This window comes from Homo sapiens, chromosome 18 (genome assembly GCF_000001405.40).
Source record: "Homo sapiens chromosome 18, GRCh38.p14 Primary Assembly".
Lineage (NCBI taxonomy): Eukaryota > Metazoa > Chordata > Mammalia > Primates > Hominidae > Homo > Homo sapiens.
This window is the reverse complement of record NC_000018.10, coordinates 46,010,844-46,032,933: the sequence shown is the minus strand read 5'-3', so window position 1 is coordinate 46,032,933 and position 22,090 is coordinate 46,010,844. Positions and strand designations below refer to the sequence as shown.

Genomic DNA, 22,090 nt, shown 5'->3' with positions numbered 1-22,090 from the left:
GGATTTCATCTTTTCAGTTCACTCTGATTTTGGGGCAACCTGGAGCACTAGATTGAGGATCATCCTGAGGCTGCTTTCAGACCTGATGGAAAAGGCCATATCTGATGATGTTTGTCATGGGTTGTTTTTCTTTTCTTTCCTTTTCTTTTTTCTTTTCCTTTTTTTTTTTTTTTTTTTTTGACACAGAGTTTTGCTCTTATTGCCTAAGCTAGAGTGCAATGGCATGATCTCGGCTCACTGCAACCTCTGCCTCCTGGGTTCAAGTGATTCTCCTGCTTCAGCCTCCTGAGTAGCTGGGATGACAGGTGCACACTACCATACCAGCTAATTTTTTGTATTTTTAGTAGAAATGGGGTTTCACCATTTTAGCCAGGGTAGTCTCGAACTCTTGACCTCAGGTGATCTGCCCACCTCAGCCTCCCAAAGTGCTGGGATTACAGATGTGAGCCACGGCACCCAGCCTGTCATGGGTTGCTGAAGGGAAAATGGCACATGGATTATTCCTGGTCTGGGAATTTGGATAGAAGCGAGGTCAAAGGGAGTTGGGGTTTTTAAGGAGAGCTTTGTGAAGCGTAGCCAGCTAAGTGCAAGAGGTGTGGTATTGCCTCTTCTGTTTCCTGTACTATTTTGTACATTTTCATCTGGCCCTTGTTACATGGTAGTAAACTAAAATATTGGTTTGCATCTCTCTCCTCTGCTAGATTATGAGCACCACTAGGCAGGTCTCATATTTCAGTCATCTCTGTGTTCTTAGCACCTAGTACGATGCCTGGCACATGGTGGATGTTCAGTAAATGACAAATTGATGATCAGATGAGACAGAAAAATTCAGATAGGTAGTAGGAGGGTGATCTAGTTAAAGGCCTACTTATTCAAGCGTGATTTATGTGATGTTCTAGTAATTCCTTCATTGCCTGCCTGGACCCATTGCTTCCCATTTACGGGGAAATACCCTCTCAACCTCAGTGGTTGTTCCCTGGTTTTATGAGGCTGAGATTCTAGTTTCACTTCCATTAAAGCTCCTTCTTTTCTCCAAAAAGCACACCATGATGCTTGCTGGAACTCATTACTTCCCGGGTTCTAGGAGAACATCTTGTTTCATGGGGAACAAGATGTGGCCTATGGTATGTTTAGATTCACGATGTCTTCCTCTTACAAGAAAGAAACTGAGTGAGTGACTTCTTATCTTGGAAACAACAAAAGAGTCTAAAGAAATCTTAATGGATATAATTCTGCGGCTAAAAGGATAAAATGCCTGTATATTATATATTTTTAAAAATGAAAATGGACTGAACATCTTTTTACATGTAAAAATATTAAATGTTCATTGTAGCATGTTATACATTTTTATATAGATACAGTGAACAGAGATTCAGAAAGTTAGAAACAGTTACTAGGGAGTTAAGATGCATCTTTTTCTATAACTAGAGTCAGCTTCAGGTGCACTTTACATTGTCAGGAGCTGGAAAATCTTTAGAAGTAGAGTCGAAGAATAGAGGCCTGAGAAGAAACAGGTTTCTTGCTCAAACTGTAGTACTGAGTACTGTCTAAGACCAGAAAGGCATGAAGGAGAAATCACTTGCATGGTCTCAGAGCAAGCAGATAGGGCTGCCCACAGTACCAGGAGCAAGATGAAGCCAAATCACATAACAGCCATGCAAATGCACCTCCACCAAAAAAGGAGAGAAGGAAGGAATGAAGAAATATATCAAGGCAAAAGCAACAAAGAACCAGAGCCCATAACTCAAGAACAAAGCCAATCCAACATGTGGATAACTGATCCCAAGTAGAAAATTTACCCAAAGGAATAGTGGAAGTATTCAGAGATATAATACAGGAAAAATGTCATGAAAGGAAGGACTAAATAGATCTGAAGGGCACACTATGAACCAGGAAACTCTGATACACAGTAATCAATACTGATTATGATTACATAAGGATCAATGTTAACACACATCCTGGCTAAGTTATTGAATTAAATAAAGAATTCTTCAAATATCAAGGAAGGAAAAAACAAGTTGTCTATACAGAAATAATCAGGGGAAATTTGGGATGGCCCCAGGCTTCTGTACAATGACAGAAGCCAGTGGAACAAGTTCAGCCAAGTTCTGAGGAAATATTTAAGAACATTCGTTATACCAGTGAGGTTGTCAGTCCAATATAAAGTCCACAGGTAAATAGTCTCAAATATGAAAGAACTCAGGGAATACCAACCCCCTTCCTACCCTTGAACTATTTTGGCAAAAGATTACGTAGTGATAAAATTTAGTCAAGCAAGAAATGAATCCAAATTAAAATCTTCAGGATGAATAATTGTGGTAAGAGGACAATTATTGAGCCTCAAATTCATTGTAATAAATAGTTCAGACTAAATAACTGGGGGAAATATGATTGGAGAACAGAATATGTTATACACAAATGAAACAAAATGTAAACAATATTGAGGAGGTGGAAGTACAACAATGCTCATTATCTAACACTTCCGGCATGCTGTCAAACATCTAAAAATGGTCAAAAACACAAACAAATTGTTAAAATGTTTTCATATCTCTATCCTCTTACTTTTTTTTTTCAAACAAAAGCTGCCACATGTTTATTAAGACATTACTGGTTCTTAAGCACAGCTGGCTCTATAAGCCATTTTCCATATATTATCACACATTCAGGAAAGTTTCTGAGACGATATATCAAGACAGGCTTCTCTTGTGACTCAACTGGACTTCAAATAGTCTCTTTAGAAGTCTGAGTAATGGTGCAACCTATAATCAGGGCCTTGCCCTTTTCTTTCTTTCTTTTTCTTTTCTTTCTTTTCTTTTTTTGAGTCGGAGTCTTGTTCTTGTCACGGAGGCTGGAGTGCAATGGTGCAATCTCAGCTCACCACAACCTCCGCCTCCTGGGTTCAGGTGATTCTCCTGCCTCAGCCTCCCAAGTAGCTGGGATTACAGGCACCTGCCACCACACCTGGCCAATTTTGTATTTTTAGTAGAGATGGGGTTTCTCCATGTTGGTCAGGCTGGTCTTGAACTCCCAACCTCAGGTGATCCACCCGCCTCGGCCTCCCAAAGTTCTGAGATTACAGGTGTGAGCCACCGCGCCCAGCCGGCCTTGCCCTTTTCATTCCCCAAGGCAAAGTATCCACCTCTGAGAGAAAATTCCATGGCGTAAACATGAGAAATAGTTTTCTTTTTAATGACTGGGAAGTTTGAAATACTGTACAGGAAGGAAGATGAACCAATGACTGCTTCTTTCATTTTTCCTGAAGCAATTGCCAATATTTCTGTAGTAGGATTGAATGTCAGAGAATTAACACCTGTAACCAAGTTCATTATAGCTTTCATTGGCTTTGGGTTTGTTCCTTCGAGACAAGAATCTTGATTATTTATATTTACTGCTCCACAATTAGAACCACAAGCAACTGTCCATTCCTAGATGTGGCAATGCTTAATCCATATAAACTGCCTTAATCAACAAATCTGTTAAGGCACCTCCTTGAGTTCACATCCCAAACATAAACTTCTCCATCCCCGAAGAGGCATATACTTTCTTACTATCTGAAGAGAACGTGGATGCTGCAACCCTTCCATTAATTTTCATGCTTCCAATCAGTTCTTTGGTCTTCATCGATAGCAAATGCAAATACCCAGCAATGCCATTTATGAGCAAGAAGGACCCATCTGGGGAGACATCTTCAAAGCTCCTCACTATCTTCTTTCAAACCTCTCACTTGATGCACAGGAATTAATTTCCAGCTAGCATGTCATAGACATAAAAAACCTTGCTGTGAGTACTCATGGCTAAAACTTCTTCCCCATTAGCACTAAAATAAGCCTTACAGTTTGGAAACCTTTCCAAACAGGTGCTCTGGATTTTAGGATTTGTTCTTCCATCAACCTGAAATAGTGATATAGGTTATCTAATCCAGCGACCATCACAATCTGTGCACAAGGACGGAACTGCACAGATGAGATCTGAGCAGCAGAAGGACGTTCAGCATTACCATGCTGGCAGTTCTTCATCTTCAGGATTCCTCTTGGAAGAGAAGTTGATGTGGATATGAAATTCCCAGTCCTTTGCAACAAAGCATCTTCATCCTCTTCACTTTCATCATCTGAAGTTGTTTTCAGCTTATTAGTCTCTGCCCAGGCAGGTACTCCTCCCACGGCATGCTGGAATTCTTCTTAAAGTCGCTTCTTAAGTTTGTCTTTCTAAAGTTTACTTTCACTAGCATTTTTCATCATTATCTTTCCGAAACCGATTGTTCATCATGTCAACCATTTCCTCATCTTCATCTTCTTCATCCACCCAAATTGGCTTCTTTTGAGGTGCACAATTACCTTTTGCTTCATTCTCCGCTTCTGAGTCTCCCAAGTCTTCATGTCCTTGAACCCACGGACCCCGCAGACGCCGCAGCAGCGTGTCCTCGTCGTCCTCGACATCGCCGAAGACCAGCTCCTCCAGGCACCACTCCACGGCCGGTTTGTCTTCTCCAGCGTCGGGCGGTTCCGCTGCCGGAGCCGTCTCTCCTCTTCCCTCGCCGCGCTTGGCCTGGCCGGCGGTTTTCGCTGGGATGAAGCGGCAGCCTTTTGGGGCGGCTCGCTCGGCCCCGCTCCGGCTTTCCAGTCCGCCCTCGTTCCGGGCTAACGCTTCGGCTTCGCTGCGGTTCTACTGTGCAGTTTCATTCGGCTCCTCAGTTCCCGCGGCATCGTTAGGTTTGAGGAGAAACGCAGGCGCTCGCGTGAAACCTCACTGCGCATGCGCGCCTCTTTTCTTTTTGAGACACTGTCTCACTCTGTCGCCCGGGCTGGAGTGCAATGGCGCGATCTTGGCTCACTGCAACCTCCGCCTCCCGGGTTCAAGCGATTCTTCTGCCTCAGCCTCTTGAGTAGCTGGGATTACAGGCACGCGCCACCACTCCTGGCTAATTTTTATATTTTTAGTAGAGATGGGGTTTCACCATGTTGGCCAGACTGGTCTCAAACTCCTGTCTTCAACTGATCCGCCTGCCTTGGCCTCCCAAAGTGCTGTGATTACAGACGTGAGCCACCGTGCCCGGCCCTCTTACTTATTTTCATAAACTTTTTCTTTTAACCTCAGAAAGATCTTTGAGGAACTAATTTTTCCTATGGTAAAGAGACTATTATTTCAATTTTAGTAATTCTTTCAGCTTCACTTCAGTTTTTTTTCTTCTGTGAAATTAAAATCAGATTAAAATTTCAATTTTTATTTACTTATTTTATTTTATTTTATACAGGGTCTTACTTTGTCATCCATGCTGGAGTGCAGTGGCGCAGTCACGGTTCACTGCAGCCTCAAACTCCCAGGCTCAAGTGATCCTCCTACCTCCGCCTCCTGAGTAGCAGGGACTACAGATGTGTGCCACCACACCCAGCTAATTTTTGTATTTTTTTGTAGAGACAGGGTTTCCCATGCTGCCTAGGCTGGTCTCAAACCCTTGGGCTCAATCGATCCTCCCACCTTGCCCTCCCAAAGTGCTGGGATTATAGGTGTGAGCCACAACACCAGTCCAAGCTATTTTTAAAAGGCATGTGGCATATGGTCTTATTCTTTAAAAAAAATTTTTTTAATATTTTTATTTATTTATTTATTTATTTATTTATTTATTTATTTATTTATTTTTGAGATGGAGTTTTGCTCTTGTCGCCCAGGCTGGAGTGCAATAGTGCGATCTCAGCTCACTGTAACCTCTGCCTCCCCGGTTCAAGCGATTCTCCTGCCTCAGCCTCCCAAGTAGCTGGGATTGCAGGCATGCGCCACCATGCCTGGCTAATTTTTTGTATTTTTAGTAGAGGCAGGGTTTCACCATGTTGGCCACGCTGGTCTCGAACTCTTGACCTCAGGTGATCCACCGCCTTGGCCTCCCAAAGTACTGGGATTACAGGTGTGAGCCATTGCACCCGGCCATATGGTCTTATTCTTTAAAAATTATTTGTTGCATGCATCTGTTCATCCTTCCTATTTGTATACCTGCAGAAAGAAATCCCTGTTACAATCATCATCAAATATTAATACTAATTAGTTTTAGTTGGTGGAATTTTGGGTTGTTTGTTTTCTTCTTTGTACTTTTCCTTCCTATCATAGTGCGCTGCAGCCTTGAACTCCCAGGCTTAAGTGATCCTCCTGCCCCATCCTCCCCCAGTAGCTGGGACTACAGGTATGCACCACCACACCCGTTTATTTCATTTATTTATTTATTTAATTTTGTAGAGGCGCGGTCTTGCTGTGTTGCCAGGGCTGCTCTTGAAATCGTGGTCTCAAGCAATACTCCCGTCTTGGCCTCCCAAAGTGCTGGGATTACAGGCATCAGCCACTGCACCCATGCCCAGCCTGTACTTTTCTTCATGTTTATTTTTGAGTAATGAGCATGTATCATTTTAATAAATTGGGTAAAATCATTATTTAGAAAAGACAAATGACAGGATGGGAGAAACTTTGTAACATATGTAAGAATAAGTTGTATATACATAGTCTATAAAGAACTTCTACCAAATTAATAGGAATAAGGCAAAATGCTCAGTTAAAAAGTTGGATGATAACTTACAGAAGAAGAAATGCAAATAAACAATAAGCGTATAAAATGATGCACAACCACACTAGAAATCAGGGAAATGCAAATTCAAAAAGAAGTTCTTCCTTTCTTCAACCTCCCTCTCACACTGGTAGCAATTTTAAAAGATTATTTATATCCACTGTGGGTCAGCATTCCTGGAAATGGGAGCTCCTGTACACTTTTTGTGGAAGTAGAAATTGAGAAGACTTTTTTGGAGGACACTTTGGCACTATTTTTCAAAAATTTAAAATGCATTCTTTCCCCTGACCTAGTAAATCCACTTTCTCAGAACTCTCAGAAAAACACTCTCAAGCTGGGTGTGGTGGCTCATGCCTTTAATCCCAGCACTTTGAAAGGGTGAGGCAGGTGGATCACCTGAGGTGAGGAGTTCGAGACCAGCCTGGCCAACATGGTGAAACTTTGTCTCCACTAAAAATACAAAAATTAGCTCGGCATGGTGGCGCACACCTGTAGTCCCAGCTGCATGGGAGGCTGAGGCAGGAGAATCGCTTGAACCCGGGAGGCGGAGGTCGCAGTGAGCCGAGATTGTGCCACTGCACTCCAGCCTGGGTGGCAGAGTGAGACACTCTCAGAGATGCCCGTGGATATATGTCCACAGATGTTCAGATGTTCATTTAGGTTTTTTTCTTTTTTCTTTTCTTTCTTTCTTTTTTTTTTTTTTAGTGGTAGTGAAAACTGGAAATAACTCAGGAGACTTTGTACTACAGAGAACTCCATATTGTGAATGTGGTGGATCCCTATGTGCTGATAAGGAACATTCTATATGATGTGTTACTAGGTGAAAAACAGAACAGCAAATAATAGAATGATCTCAATTACATAAACATGAAAGTTACACATATGTGTATATGTGAGATATGGGCATGTAAATGCAGAGAAAAGGGACTGGAAAGCTAACTATTAACCTTGGCAGTGGCTGCCCCTGGGGAGAGCAGTGGAGCTGGAAGAGAGTGGGAAGGTGCTGGCGTGTTTTAGACTGTCTACCTTTGTGGTGTTACAGTCTTTTACCGTGAGGATATATTCATTTATTACTTATATAATTTTTTTAAATCTGAAGAAAAAAGTAGGGTAGATGAGCCTAAATCACTCTGTCCTAATCGTATGGTTTATATAAGGCTGGGCTGAGACAGAAGTGGAGATGGTGACAAAAAGCAGTGGGGAGAGGGGAAGGGGAAGGAGGATGTTTAGTGCTGAGACCGACCCTGCAATGCTGAGTAACAATCAGTGTTTTTATAGGGCATGCTGACTGCAGAGTTTCTTTCCTGAAATCCCCCTTCCTTTGGTACAGTTTAGTTGCGTATTTGAATTGCTTGTGAATGAAGGGCTCTATAGCATGGTAAAGGGCACTCTTAGAAAAGATGGAGGAGGGTTGGGCATTTCTTATTCCACTTAAACAAATGTTCAGTTTTACTGTAATGTTCGCATAATGTCCATGTTAGGGACTTCCAGCTGGAGAAGACCACCATAGAGATGAGGGCCATCGATCTTTTTACAGTTGTTCCCTATCATACAGAGGGAGTCTTGCATTTTAGAGAATGGTGTTGTATCTGAGCTTCTATGGTCACAGGTGCAGTTTTGCTTTCCAAGGGAGGGTCATTGTGTCTTAACAAAGAGTCAGCTCTGAGAAGGACCCATAACCCTCTCTTCTGTTCCCCTAGGGCAGCAATTGAAGAGAGGTATGGCAAAGATCTGCTCAACCTCTCTAGGAAGAAGCCGTGTGGACAGTCTGAAATCAAGTATGTATCAAGTTTTTTTCTGGTTTCCAGGTTGGTTAATAATGCCTGGGAGCTCCCTCGCTTCAGCAGACAGAGTTACCAGGAGGTTGAAGTATGCTGGCTGAAAAAAAAATTTTTTTGGAGATGGGATCTCACTATTTTGTCCAGGCTGGGCTCAAACTCAAGATCCTCAGTCAGGCGCAGTGGCTCATGCCTCTAACCCCAGCACTTTGGGAGGCCGAGGCAGGTGGATCGCTTGGGCCCAGGAGTTCAAGACCAGCCTAGGCAACTTGGCAAAACCCCATCCCTACTAAAAATAGAAAAATTAGCCAGGCATGGTGGCCCATGCCTGTAGTCCTAGCTACTTGGGAGACTGAGGTGGGAGGATGGTTTGAGCCCAGAAGGCAGAGGTTGCAGTGAGCAGAGATTGTGCCACAGCATTCTAACCTGGGTGTCAGAGCAAGACTCTGTCTCAAAAAATTAAAAAAAAAGATCCTTGCATCTCAGCTGTCCAAGTCACTGGGAATACAGGCGCGTGTCACTGTACTTGGCCTGAAAAAAATTATAATTTTTTTTATTATTTTCAATTGTGAAAAATCAAGACAAGCAGAAAAATGGCTAAAGTGGACTATGAAGCCACAACCTGTTATTAATACCTTCTAAGTTTTTCTTGAAGTTTTTTATATGTACACCTTTTCGTAGGTAGGGCTATATTATATATATTTATACTACAAATTTAATAGTAGAGCTTCCTGTGTGTGTATATGTGTGTGTGTGTATTGTATGTGTGTGTTTTTTAAAAGCAAGAGAAGACAAGAGGAAGGGCAATGTCCTATTTGTCCCCATTAGGACCTCTGAAGAGACATAGACTTCTGGGCGTCTCTGCAAGTGTTGATAGCAGAGATGCCCAGAGGTCTGTGTTGATATTATTTTATAATATCTATCCTAAGTAAAACACCTATAAAATTATATATCTAAAATTGTATATAAAATAGAAAATTATACATATATTTTTTTGTTTGTGATAACTATAGGAGATTTTGCACCATTTTAAAAAAACTTTTCTTTTTGAGAAGGAGTTTTGCTCTTGTTGCCCAGGCTGGAGTGCAATGGCGCGATCTTGGCTGACCACAAATTCTGCCTCCCGGGTTCCAGCAATTATCCTGCCTCAGCTTACCAAGTAGCTGGGATTACAGGCATGCGCCTCCATGCCCGGCTAATTTTGTATTTTAGTAGAGAAGAGGTTTCTCCATGCTGGTCAGGCTGGTCTTGAACCCCCCACCTCAGGTGATCCACCTGTCTAGGCCTCCCAAAGTACTGGGATTACAGGTGTAATCCACCATGCCCGGCGAAAAAACTTTTATTTTAAGTTTAGGGGTATATGTGCAGGTTTGTTATATAGGTAAACATGTGTTATGGGGATTTGTTGTACATATTATTTCATCGCCCAGGTATTAAGCCTGGTACCCATTAGTTATTTTTCCTGATCCTCTTCCTCTTCCCATCCTCCACCCTCTGATAGGCACCAGTGTGTGTTGTTCCCCTCCACGTGTCCATGTGTTCTCATCATTTAGCCCCCACTTATAAGTGAGAACATGTAGTATTTGGTTTTCTGTTCTGTTTTAGTTTGCTAAGGATAATGGCCCCCAGCTCCACCCATGTCCCTGCAAAGGACATGATCTCATTCTTTTTTATGGCTTCGTAGTGTTCCATGGTGTATATGTACCACATTTTCTTTATTCAGTCTATCATTGATGGGCATTTAGGTCAATTCTATGTCTTCCTTGCATCATTTCATAATTGTCACAACCCATGTGAGATTTCTGTACCATAATTTTTAATTTTTCAGTCATTCATTTAATATATTGAGGATACAGAAGTGACCAGGTCATGGTGCCTACTTTAGCAATACACTCCGTCTTACACAAGGCTGGTTTCCCTGGTGTCCTGTGGCAACTCACACTTAGAAGGGTTTCATAATTGATTTAATGCCCTGCTATCACCATTCTGAAATTTTTAATAATTTATAAACAAGGGGTCTCATGTTTTCATTTTGCAGTAGGAGTCACAAATTATGTAGCCAGTCCTACTCATTTGGAAATTTCTAGATTCCTTCCCCAACATGTTGAGGGAGGGTTTAGAGAAGGAGGTCAGGCTTTCTCTTTCCAGACCTAACCACATAACATACTTTCCTGTATCCTGCTCTGGCTGTGCTATCAACAGCTTCAGAGATGCGCAGAGGTCTGTGTCCCTTCAGAGGCCCTAATAGGGACATATAGGACATTGGCCTTCCTCTTGTCTTCTCTTGCTTCTAAAACAAGCACACATGCAACACACACACACACACATACACACACACTCATCCTAGACTACAAAGAAAGGTATTGAACTACTGAGGAGGAAAACATTGGGAGATATTGAAAATATTAATAGTTATATAAACCTAAAAATCTTGTTACCCTCAGACATAGGAAATTAGTACAAAGAAGATTTATTTTTCATTGGCTAATTATATATTTTTGATGTTTTAAATGAAAATTTAAAAATCACAGAAAAGTAAAAAAACGAACATAATAAATAGCTATATACCCATCACCTAGATTTTACAGTTACTCATATTTGTCACCAAGATTTTACAATTATTAACAATGTAAATGCTTTAAATTTAAATCTGGAATCAAATATTTCTCCAAGAATACTTGGTTCTGTTCCTTTTCATGATTAATCGTATTTAGAAACCAAATTTTCAGTTCTTTTTTTTTTTTTTTTTTTTTTTTTTTTGAGACAGAGTCTCGCTTTGTTGCCCAGGCTGGAGTGCAGTGGCCCGGCTAATTTTTTGTATTTTTAGTAGAGACAGGGTTTTACCACGTTGGTCAGGCTGGTCTTGAACTCCTGACCTCAAGTGATCCATCCGCCTTGGCCTCCCAAAGTGCTGGGATTACAGGCATGAGCCACCGTCTCTGGCCCAAATTCTCAGTTTTAATGTTGATCATTGTCACAGAGGCATCATCGTATGTAGGCCCTGGCAGGGAATGGATTTTAAAAGTGTGAGTTCATACTAATATTTACAATTCTAATTTAAATTTATAGGGCTCTATATAATGTTTAAAATTTTATGTTTATATTTCTTTCCTCTTATATTGAAGACCTAACAATATTAGTATAATTATTTGCTTTATTTGGTTTTTTATATATATATACACATACACATATATATATAAATTGTTTTAAAATAATATCAATATTGCTACTAACAATAAAACTTCTAAATAGAGCTTAACATTTCTTTTCAGTTCCTTTTGATCTTAGACCATAATAGGTCACTTAAACATTTATTTGCTCTGTGTGATTATGTAACCAATTTTACTTATAGTTACGTTTATTTGTTTCGGTTTGTTTTAAATTATAGGGATTGTTTTCTTTTTCCTGTTTGACTTAGTTTTATTTTTTGAATATGTAAAACATTTGCACGTCCAAGGGTCCAAACTACATCAACTTAGACAAGTTTCACTGTAATTAAAGAATGGTTTAGAACATTTTATGGAAGATAAGTGGGTCAGTTGACCAGAAAAACTTTTTCATTTATAAAGAAAGCATAAGCCATTGGCAATATACCCAAAAACTTTTGAGGTGATGTGATGGAAAATGGCCGTATTCTCTCTACTACTTCCTGCAAAAGATATTTAGCAGAATGAATCTGACCCGAAATGATATTTCTTATATCCTTACATATTTGACGTTTGCCTTGTTACTTGGTAAATTCAGACAGACTGTAACACAGTTCTTTTCTGTTGCTTGATAAAAGCCAGTCAGTTTTCCTTCTAAGAGTATACCTCAGAGAGGAAGTAGTCATAAGATAGGAGAACTGGGATTGTTTCCAAGGCTGAAGTGAAACACTGTTTAGGTGACTTGTTTTTGTCACCCCATGACATGATCTTTAGGAAGATGTTCTAGAAGACAGTGGATGATTTTTTTTTTGAGATGGAGTCTCACTCTGTCACCCAGGCTGGAGTGCAGTGGCGTGATCTCAGCTCACTGTAACCTCTGCCTCCGGGGTTCAAGCAGTTCTCTGCTTCAGCCTCCTGAGTAGCTGAGATTATAGGCACTCGCCACCCCACCTGGCTAATTTTTGTATATTTAGTAGAGACAGGGTTTCACCATGTTGGCCAGGCTGGTCTTGAACTCCTGACCTCGTGATCCACCTGCCTCAGCCTCCCAAAGTGCTGGGATTACAGGCGTGAGCTACCGCGCCCGGCCAGATGATTTTGCTTATCCAGGGACTAGCTAGGATTTTCCACCTCATTGGCTACCCTGAGAGACTCAAATCTATAATGGAACCTGTTAGGGCTTAAGGCCAACGTGCTTTTTAAAAGAGTTGTAGAATAGTTTCCTTTTCCACAGTGAGGGAGAACACTGTGGAGAAGAGAGGGTGAATGTTGTTACGCCACCATTCCCATGGTTCAGATTCCATTCCTGGAATGTCATTTTGTCCTGAACACGAGGAATGGCAATGAAGTGATGATGGGAGACAACAAAGCTGATGACAAAGGAAATGAAGATGGGGCTGCTCTTTTAGGGGCCCTTCAATCAGTCACTGTGGTGGGAGAAAAATTTTAAACTTGGGACAGACAATTTAGCTGTAAGGCTGGCCTTTCAATCTATGACTCACTATAGGGAGAGAATTCCAGTTGTATCTCCTATCATACCCGTCTTTTTTTCCTATTCTTTGAAGACAAATAAGCATCACTGAAGAGTGGATTTATTAATTTCAGTTGACCATTGGTGCATTTGTTTGGATATGGACACTTTTTATTTTGATTTTTGTTTTTGAGATGGAGTCTCACTCTGTTGCCCAGGCTGGAGTGCAGTGGTGCAATCGTGGCTCACTACAACCTCTGCTTCCGGGGTTCAAATGATTCTTGTGCTTCAGCTTCCCAAGTAGCTGGGATTACCGGCACGTGCCACCACACCTGGGTAATTTTTGTATTTTTAGTGGAGAAGGGGTTACACCATGTTGGCCTGGCTGGTCTTGAACTCCTGACCTCAAATGATCCTCCCGCCTTGGCCTCGCAACGTGCTGGGATTACAGGGGTGAGCCACTGCACCCGGCCTCAATATGGACACTGTTATAATGCATTGTGCTCCTTGAAAAATTGTATCATAAGATGGGTAAAGTGAATGGAGAATGTGCAGTTAGGCTGTCCTGCTTAATGTATTTGTAATAACTGGCGCAAATGTTCATGTGAGAAAAGGCAGAGAGAAATAAGAACCTTTGTTTTGAGATAAATAGAGTGGGAAAAGTAAGGTAGCTGAAAGAAGGGGCCACTTGGAAAACACAAGGCCTTTAATTTCTAAAATAGTAGAATTTGCCATATATACATATATATATAAAATGATGCATGATCTTATGCTGCTGTGGTAGGGGACCGTGAGTGTACAAAATCCCAACCCTGCTTGGGTAGGTTGAGTGAGCACAGTCCACAGTTCCATGAGATCAGCCTCCATGAAAGTAGCAGTGAGCAAGAAATTTACCAGGGCCAAGGCACCTCCGAGGGAGTTCGCTTAAGGAAGTGTAGGTTGGGGGAGAACTAAAATAATGGGCAAAGGGGAGTTGATTATAAGGGAGAGGATGGGGGAGATTGAGAGAAGGAATGAAAAATGAGTCATGGTCTTCCATATCCACAACATGGTAGACTAGATATTGGGAAAGCCCTCCCATTGTAAAACACTTAAAATGCTGGTTTAAAATATATTTTAATAATTTAAAATAAATACGTGGCTATGCTGTCAAGAAAGTAAGGAAAATCGTTCCAGGCCAAAGACGAATCAAAGGTGTCTTTCAGTGGTCACTTAGCTCTCTGGATTCAAGCTTTTCTTCATCTCTTAAATCCCAGAGAAAGCCTATAAACCCAAAGATAAATAATGTCTTAATGAAAGGCTAAACCAGAGAAAAAAAATCTCAGTAAAAGATATCAAGTCATGCCTGAAATCCCAGCACTTTGGGAGGCCAAGGCGGGCAGCTCACTTGAGGTCAGGAGTTCGAGACCAGCCTGGTCAACATGGAAAAACCCTGTCTCTACTAAAAATACAAAAATTAGCTGGGCGTGGTGGTGGGCACCTGTAATCCCAGCTACTCGGGAGGCTGAGGCAGGAGAATTGCTTGAACCCAGGAGGCAGAAGTTGGGTGCGTAGGTGACAGAGTGAGACTCTGTTGCAGGAAAAAAAAAAAGATATCAACGAAAGATACCTCTCTAAGCCTTGATTATGAATGTTGGGAGTGGTTGCATCTCCTGAGAATCTGTAATTATAAGCCAGTTCTCTTGCAGATTTGGAGCTCCAAAGTACCAAATTTCATCAGAGTGGTCTGAAGAATCCTAAGCTAAAAATTTAGTTTAGAGTGGTCCTGGGTGTCAACAGAAGCAATAAATAGCAGAATTAGACATGCAAAGACTGTAGATACTAGAACTAACAGATCTAAAAAACAAGTATGTATAGTATGTTTAAAGAAAATAAAAGAGTGAATTAAGAGGATGAGTAGGGTGACTTTCAGAGGTATTCAAGAAATTTTGAAAGGGAATCAGATAGAACTTATATAAATAAAATAGAAAATACTTAAAATAAAAATTCAGTAGATGAGATGCATTAAGTAACACATTAACTATAATTGAAGAGGGAATTCAAAAATTAGAAATGAAAAAATCAGGAGAGGCTGGGGACAAGGTTTGGGGAAATGTTGATCAAAGGATACAAAATTTCGGTTAGGAGGAATAAGTTCAGGAGATCTATTGTACAACACAATGACTGTAATAATAATGTATTATATTCTTGAAAACCACTAAGAGAGTAGATTTTAAGTGTTCTCATCACAAAAAGTGTAAGTACATGAGGTAATACATATGTAACTTTGCTCTATTGAACCATTCCACAAAGTACATATTTCAAAGCATCATTTTGTACATGATAAATATATACAATTTTTATTTGTCAAGTAAATAAATACATTTCAAAAAAGAAAAGAAATTATCTGGAATTCATCACAGAAAAAAAAATCAGAGGTTAAAAGTAAAGAAAAATTAAGAGACATGGAGAATAGGATGAGAAGGTCAATGCTGAGTTCCAGAAGAGAGAATAGAAACAATGAGAAGAAATTTTTAAAGCAACAGAGCTTGACAATTTTCTAGAATTGATGGGAACCATTAATCTTCTGATTCAGGAAGCAAAATTAATCCCAAGAATGATAAATTAAAAGGAAATTCACAAGTACACAAGAATAGTCAAACTGAGTAAGATCCAAGTTAATGAAAAAGTCCTAAAGGCATCCAGAAAGAGTGATTACCCACTAAGGAACATTTATTAGAGCAACAGCTGATTTTTTCAATAGCAATGATGAAGCCAGAGACTGCAGAATTATGTCTTTAAAATACTGAGAGGAAATAATTATCAACCTGGAAAAATTATTTTTCTTGGAGAAATTATTTTTCAAGAAAGAAGGAAAAATAAAGATGTTATCCAACAAAAAATTAGAGTTAACTATGAGCAGATGTTCAATGAAGGAACTTCTAAAAAATATACTTCAGAAAGAAGGAAAATAATCCAGGACAAAAGGTCTGAGGTGCAAGACGGAATAGTGAGCAAAGAATATGGCACATATGGATAAATCTAAACAGTTTGTAAATAAATGGTATTAATGTCAACTTGGGTGATTTAAAAAACAAAATGGAGCCAAAATATTGGACATTAAAAGCTTATAACTTGTTAGGAAGGATAATCGGAGTTAAAGCATTCTTAGGTATTTTATTGCTGAGGGTAAGTATAATACTAACCTTGAGTAAGCAGATTCTTCCTCTGTCAAGCCACCAGATGAGAATGCAGCATGGGCAATACCTTGATTGCAGCCTGTGATGCTCCAAGCACAGGATCCAGCTAAACCATATTCAGACTGGCAATCCACAGAACTGTGAGATAATAAATGTGTGTTGTTTTATGCTGCTAAGTTTGTCATGCAGCAATAGAAAAATGGATACGATTTGTTTAATGTCTGTCTCCTCCATTAGACTCTGAGGTCTGGGATAAGGTCTGTCTTGTAGGACTGATTAACCAACATCTGACACAATGCCTGGCCCATGGTTTATGGTCAATAAATATATGATTATTGACTAAATGAATGTAAATGAGTGAAAAAGGAGGCAGTCAGGACTAGGTTTGAACCCTTCCTTTGTTGCCTTGTATTCATATTTTGAATTGCCATACTTTATTTATTTATTTTGAGATGGAGTTTTGCTCTGTTGCGCAGGCTGGAGTGCAGTGGTGCAATCTTGGCTTGCTGCAACCTCCACCTCACAAGTTCAAGTGATTCTCCTGCCTCAGCCTCCTTGCCATACTTTAAAGAATCACTGGTATTCTTATGAGAAAAGGATCATAACTCCTATCCTATCATTGGAGAAAATGAAACACAAAGAGTTTTGGCATGTTGCTCTCCCCAAATGAACAGTGAAGAATTTCTTGTGCCTGGGATTGAGGAAACTGGACTTAAGAAGTCTTGGTCTTTTGCTGTCTCTCTAGCTCATGGGCAAAAATTGGTCTGTAGTTTCTAAGTTAAGATATGGGCAGAGAGAAGCATGCAAAGGCATTATAATAAGATTGTGCAGAGAATTTCCAGAACTGAAATTATATATGTGCTTGTTTTTTTTAGCACCCTGAAGCGGGCCCTTGAAGTCTTCAAGCAGCGTAAGTGATTTTTTTTTTAAAAAATGTATTCACTGCCCTTGACAAGCCCTGTGTCTGTCGTCAAAGGTGTGTTTTAATTTGAACAGCAGTTTCATAGTGGGTGAAAAAAAATTAGAGCAACTCCTAAGGTGAGACAAAGCTCTGCAGGCTCGAAATGAGCTGGAGAACCTGCACACCTGCACATCATGATGTGTGTTTGCCTTACTCAGAGCCATGCTTCTCACACTTGCATGAGCATCAGAATCACCTGGAGGGCTTGTTATTGACACAGATTCCTGAGACCCATCCCCAGAGTTTCTGATTCAGGAAGTCTAGAGTGGGGCCTGGGAGTCTGCATGTCTCTCGTGTTCCCAAGTGATGCTGAGGCCTCTGGTCCAGGGACCATGCTGGGAGAATGGTTGCCTCAGAGAATCGTCTATACTTCTTAGGTCTAACTCGGAGACACTGTCATCCAAGTGCTCCTCCACACCCCCACCTGCCTCAGCCAGACTGTCTACCAACCTAACCCCTGGTATGTTCTTATGCTCAGTCTGGTTTTCTTCTCCCAGAGCCACCCCTGCAGGGCTTCAGACTTTGGGACCCTGTTGTGAGTGTCTTGCCATTTCTCCCAGATCACCAAACATTTGTATCCAGAATAAAGTTAATTACAGTAAGCATCGAAGGAAATATTGTCATGATTCCCTCACCTCTTACTCTAATCTGCCTGTAGTCCCACCACTCACCTGGAACTGCTCTCTCCAAGGACACCAGCCCTTTGGGTCACTAAGTTTAGGGGACAATTTTGGGCCTCTTCTAGCTTGACTCTTCAACAGCATTCAGCACTGTGGTGCATTTCTTTCTTCTGGAAACCTGCATCCCTCTGACTCCCTTGGATTCTTCCTGCTTCTCTGGCTACTTCTCTGTCCCTTTCCATATTGCGGGTCCTCAGAGCTTGGTCCTAGCCCTTCTCAGTCTGCCTAGAAAAACATCCTCATCCCTGACACCAGCTATCACTTTTACATGAAGAATGTACATATCCATATTTTCAGTCCAGAACTCTCTAAGGACCAGAATTTACATCCTGTTGCCTACTTAGTATTTCTTCTTGGGTGTTTCAAAGGCACCTTAAATTCAAAATATTTGCAGCTGAACTCATGATCTTACAGGCTGATTGCCTAAGGAAGTTTCATATCTGTTTATTTTTATTTTTTTTAAAGTCAGGGCATCACTCTGTCACCCAAGCTGGAGTGCTGCACAGTCACAGCTCACTGCAGCCTCACACTCCCAGGGTTAAGCGATCCTCCAGGCTCAGCCTTCTGAGTAGCTGGGCCCACAGGCATGCACCACTACGTCTGGCTAATTTTTTACTTCTCATAGAGATGGGGTGTCACTATGTTGCCCAAACTGGTCTTGAATTCCTGGGCTCAAGTGATCTTCCTGCCTTGGCCTCCCAAAGTGCTGAGATTACAGGTGTGAGACGCTGCGCTCAGCCATTGAGATCTGTCTTTTTAGAACCACATCCTGTTTCTTCCTTAAGAATTCTTATTTATTTATTCTTTTCTTCCCAGGGTCAGGATGCTATGTCCTAGAAATGATCCCTTTTGGCCTGTGCGGTGGCTCACACCTGTAATCCTAACGCTTTGGGAGGCCAAGGCGGGCAGGTTACCTGAGGTCAGGAGTTCAAGACTAGTCTGGCCAACATGGTAAAACTCCATCTCGACTAAAATACAAAAGTTAGCCAGGCATGTTGGCATGTGCCTGTAGTCCCAGCTACTCCAGAGGCTGAGGCACGAGAATCACTTGAACCTGGGAAGTAGAGGTAGTAGTGAGCAGAGATCTTGCCACTGCACCCCAGCGTGGGCGACAGAGTAAGACTGTTTAAAAAAAAAAAAGATCCCTTCTTTACTCCTCTCCTTCAGCCTCTTAAGAGGAGAACCCAGTGGGAGGTAGTTCCCTCCTGTTTGGATTTATTTTCTTGGTTTGAATCGGGTATTCTAATTTTATCAGACTTCTTGAGAATGGTAAAGGCTAATTTAGAAAGGAAATAGAAAGTCTTTGGAAATACCAATGTCACAGTTGTCAGAGTTCATCTCTGTTGGGGTGAAGTTCTATTTCCCTTCATCTTTTTGAGGCTAAGGAGTCATTTTCTTCCTGTGTTGGTCATCTTTGCTTTTCTTGGTATGAGAAATTATTATTTATTGATATGAGTCTGGAGGGGAAATGGAAGACATAAGTCATAGTGCCCTCAGCATCCTTTCTTAATTTCTCAGTTCTCATTTCCACTTTGTGGCCTTTGGTTATAACTGCAACTTGGAATTCAGCCAACAGATTTTTATTTAGCTCCTATTATTCTAATGTGATGACAAGCAGAAGTTGGGCGATCCAGGGTGAGGCACTGGCACTTTGGTTTTCAAGGGGTCCTATCCAGTTCTAATATTCTTCAGGCCTGTTACTCAGAACCTGCCTCTAAAGCTTTCTGTTTTTCAGAATACCTGGCCCTTCCAAGCTAAGGATTTTAACACAGCATAGTATGTTTAATGCTTGCTTAAAGTGTTTCTGTAGCTAGTTGAGTAATTCTAGACGTTTGTAAATGTTAGCTAAATATTCATATTAACTTTTACATAGAAGGTGTCTTCTTCCCTCCGTAACTCATCAATGAATACATTTCTCAGAGTAGAGACAGTAACTTTTCACGTTCCTTATATGCACTGTGAGGCCAAGTATGGCATGGCCCAAAGTCAAACCTCAGCGTAGGCTGGGTCCCCTAAATCATTTTTTTGGCTTTACTTGTTTTCTTTTTTTCTAAAAAAATAAGTTTTATTTTCTTATTAAAATAATATATATATTTATCTTAAAAATTAAAATGAGACAACTAACTGTAAAGAAGATAGTAAGCACTGGAATTTTCTTCTCAGTGATTGTCTCCAGACAGTTTAATGCAATTAAACATATATGTGTATAGTATATATGTGTTTATTCATATACATAAGTAGTATTATACCATGGCAGTGGTCCACAATTTCTGGGATGGGGCCAGATATGTTTTTACATTGTTTTGAAAATGAAAACAATCATTTTAAAATCATGCTAGTAGTTTGGTATATATTTCCAGACCTTTCTCTGTGCATTTACAACTCTCTCTCTCTTTTTTTGAGATGGAGTCTCGCTCTGTTGCCAGGCTGAAGTGCAGTGGCACAATCTCGGCTCACTGCAAACTCCACCTCTTGGGTTCATGCCATTCTCCTGCCTCAGCTTCCTGAGTAGCTGGGACTACAGGTGCCCACCACCATGCCCGGCTAATTTTTTGTATTTTTAGTAGAGACGGGGTTTCACCATGTTGCCAGAATGGTCTCAATCACTTGACCTCGTGATACACCCACCTCAGCCTCCCAAAGTGCTGGGATTACAGGCGTGAGCCACTGCGCCTGGCCAACTCTTTTTTAATTGTAGATGCACATATGCATATAGACGTGAATGAGTTTTTATGCTGTTATACTATACATCTCTCTCTATAGTTTGTTTTACTTAACAATATATCATAGACAGCTTTTCGTTTCAATTCATATAGATCTGCCTCGTTCTTTTACATTTAAAAAATTTCGTTTCTAAAAAATGCCAAATTTCCTCCAGAAAGGTTGTGCTGTTTTTTTTTTCCCCAACAGTGCTGTTTTGTCCCATGCTTGCCAATATCAAGAATATTTGTGCTTTAAAAATTTTGCCCAACTGAAAGGTTTACATTTTAAAGTTTTGCATTTTTTTCAGTAGTTTTAAGGCTGGGTGTATTTCCAAATGTTTATTGGCCATTTAGCCACTCTTTTTTGAATTTCATGTTCTTTAACTGGTTTTTAAATACTGGAATATGTATTTTTCTTTTGATTTGTGGAAGCTCTTTTGATATAGCTAATTGCTCTTTGTTATATAAATTGCAAATATGTTTCCAGTTTGTCATGTATCTTTTAACCTTCTTCAAGGTTTTGATACCCACAAGTTTAAATTTTTTTCTTAGATCAATCTGACCATCTTTCAGTCTTTCTAGCTTTATCTGTCAGACTTTTTAGCTTTAATGCCATGCTTTGATTTGTTTTCTTAGAACAAGTATTTATTCTTTTCTTTTACAAAGGCAGGCCATACTCCTTGTATAGATCTTAAAAAATAAGGGGAAAAATCAGCAATAATCTTTCTACCCAGAGATAACTATTGGTAGCCAAAATTTTGGCATATGACCTTTCTTATAAACATTTAGGCTCATGAGACATTAGAGATGGAAGGAAACTTAGAGGTCATCTACAGAGAATGAAGAGTCAAATTTGAAATTGTGCTGGCTTTGGTAATGTCTCCTAGGATGTAACCTTCATGAAATGGAACTTTGGCTGCTTTTCTCCCTAGTCCTGGGCACCCTAGGTTAGTAACAGTAGTGGTAGGAGGCTAAGCTAAAGATCTTCTAGCTTTGATCCTGGTGGCCAGGGCTATGCTGGACATATGGAGAGGTTCAATACATGTTGGTGACCAAATGAAGTGATGTTGATTTTACCACTTACTCCAGTATTTTGTATATACATATTTATTTTGTATGATTTTATATATTTTAATTCAGACATATGTAGACCTTGATTTTTTTTTTAATTCTTTTTTGCAGAAGTAGACAATGTGGCACAATGTCACATTCAGCTTGCACAGAGTTTAAGAGAAGAGGCCAGGAAGATGGAAGAATTCAGGGAAAAGCAAAAACTACAACGAAAAAAGGTTGGATTTGCATACGTGTTAAGGTGTTTCCTTTCCTCCTATAGAAAACCGCAGGCTTGTTTGTTCATTATACTCCTCAGCTCAGCTCCCACCATCATGTAATCATGACCTGAGAAATTACTTACTGGAGTCCCCACATGGGGACTCAGTCCAGATGGGTATATGCATTTCTACACCCCAGGCCAGTTGTCCTTTTTTAAAGTTCACATAGGATTCAGAGGTCCAGCTTGCATTCCTCTTCAGGTCTGCTGCCGCTATTCAGACTATGAATGGAAAGGGGAACCCTCTGAATTCAATAGACTCTAGCACATCCCAGCTGGACGGCTCCCAAAACCAC

At 40.5% G+C, this 22,090-nt stretch overlaps 1 protein-coding gene and 1 pseudogene across 1 annotated transcript in view, besides 1 other annotated feature; one reads left to right on the top strand and one right to left on the bottom strand.

Annotated features, from left to right (window-relative positions):
• Positions 1–22,090, top strand: part of PSTPIP2 (proline-serine-threonine phosphatase interacting protein 2) — an 88,725-nt gene that overhangs the window by 39,327 nt on the left and 27,308 nt on the right. Inside the window, exons 3-5 of the mRNA NM_024430.4 lie at positions 8,248–8,325; positions 16,997–17,031; positions 21,647–21,753. Of these exons, the coding sequence (NP_077748.3) occupies positions 8,248–8,325; positions 16,997–17,031; positions 21,647–21,753 (220 nt within the window). The remainder of the gene's footprint in view (positions 1–8,247; positions 8,326–16,996; positions 17,032–21,646; positions 21,754–22,090) is intronic.
• LOC100422497 (UTP18, small subunit (SSU) processome component, homolog (yeast) pseudogene) lies at positions 3,102–4,742 on the bottom strand (annotated as a pseudogene).
• Positions 19,057–19,106: an enhancer, noted in NCBI's record as "active region_13264". NCBI's record gives its function as "activates an Ori minimal core promoter by ATAC-STARR-seq in GM12878 lymphoblastoid cells {active_cell/tissue: GM12878}" and the evidence as "EXISTENCE:reporter gene assay evidence [ECO:0000049][PMID:35858748]".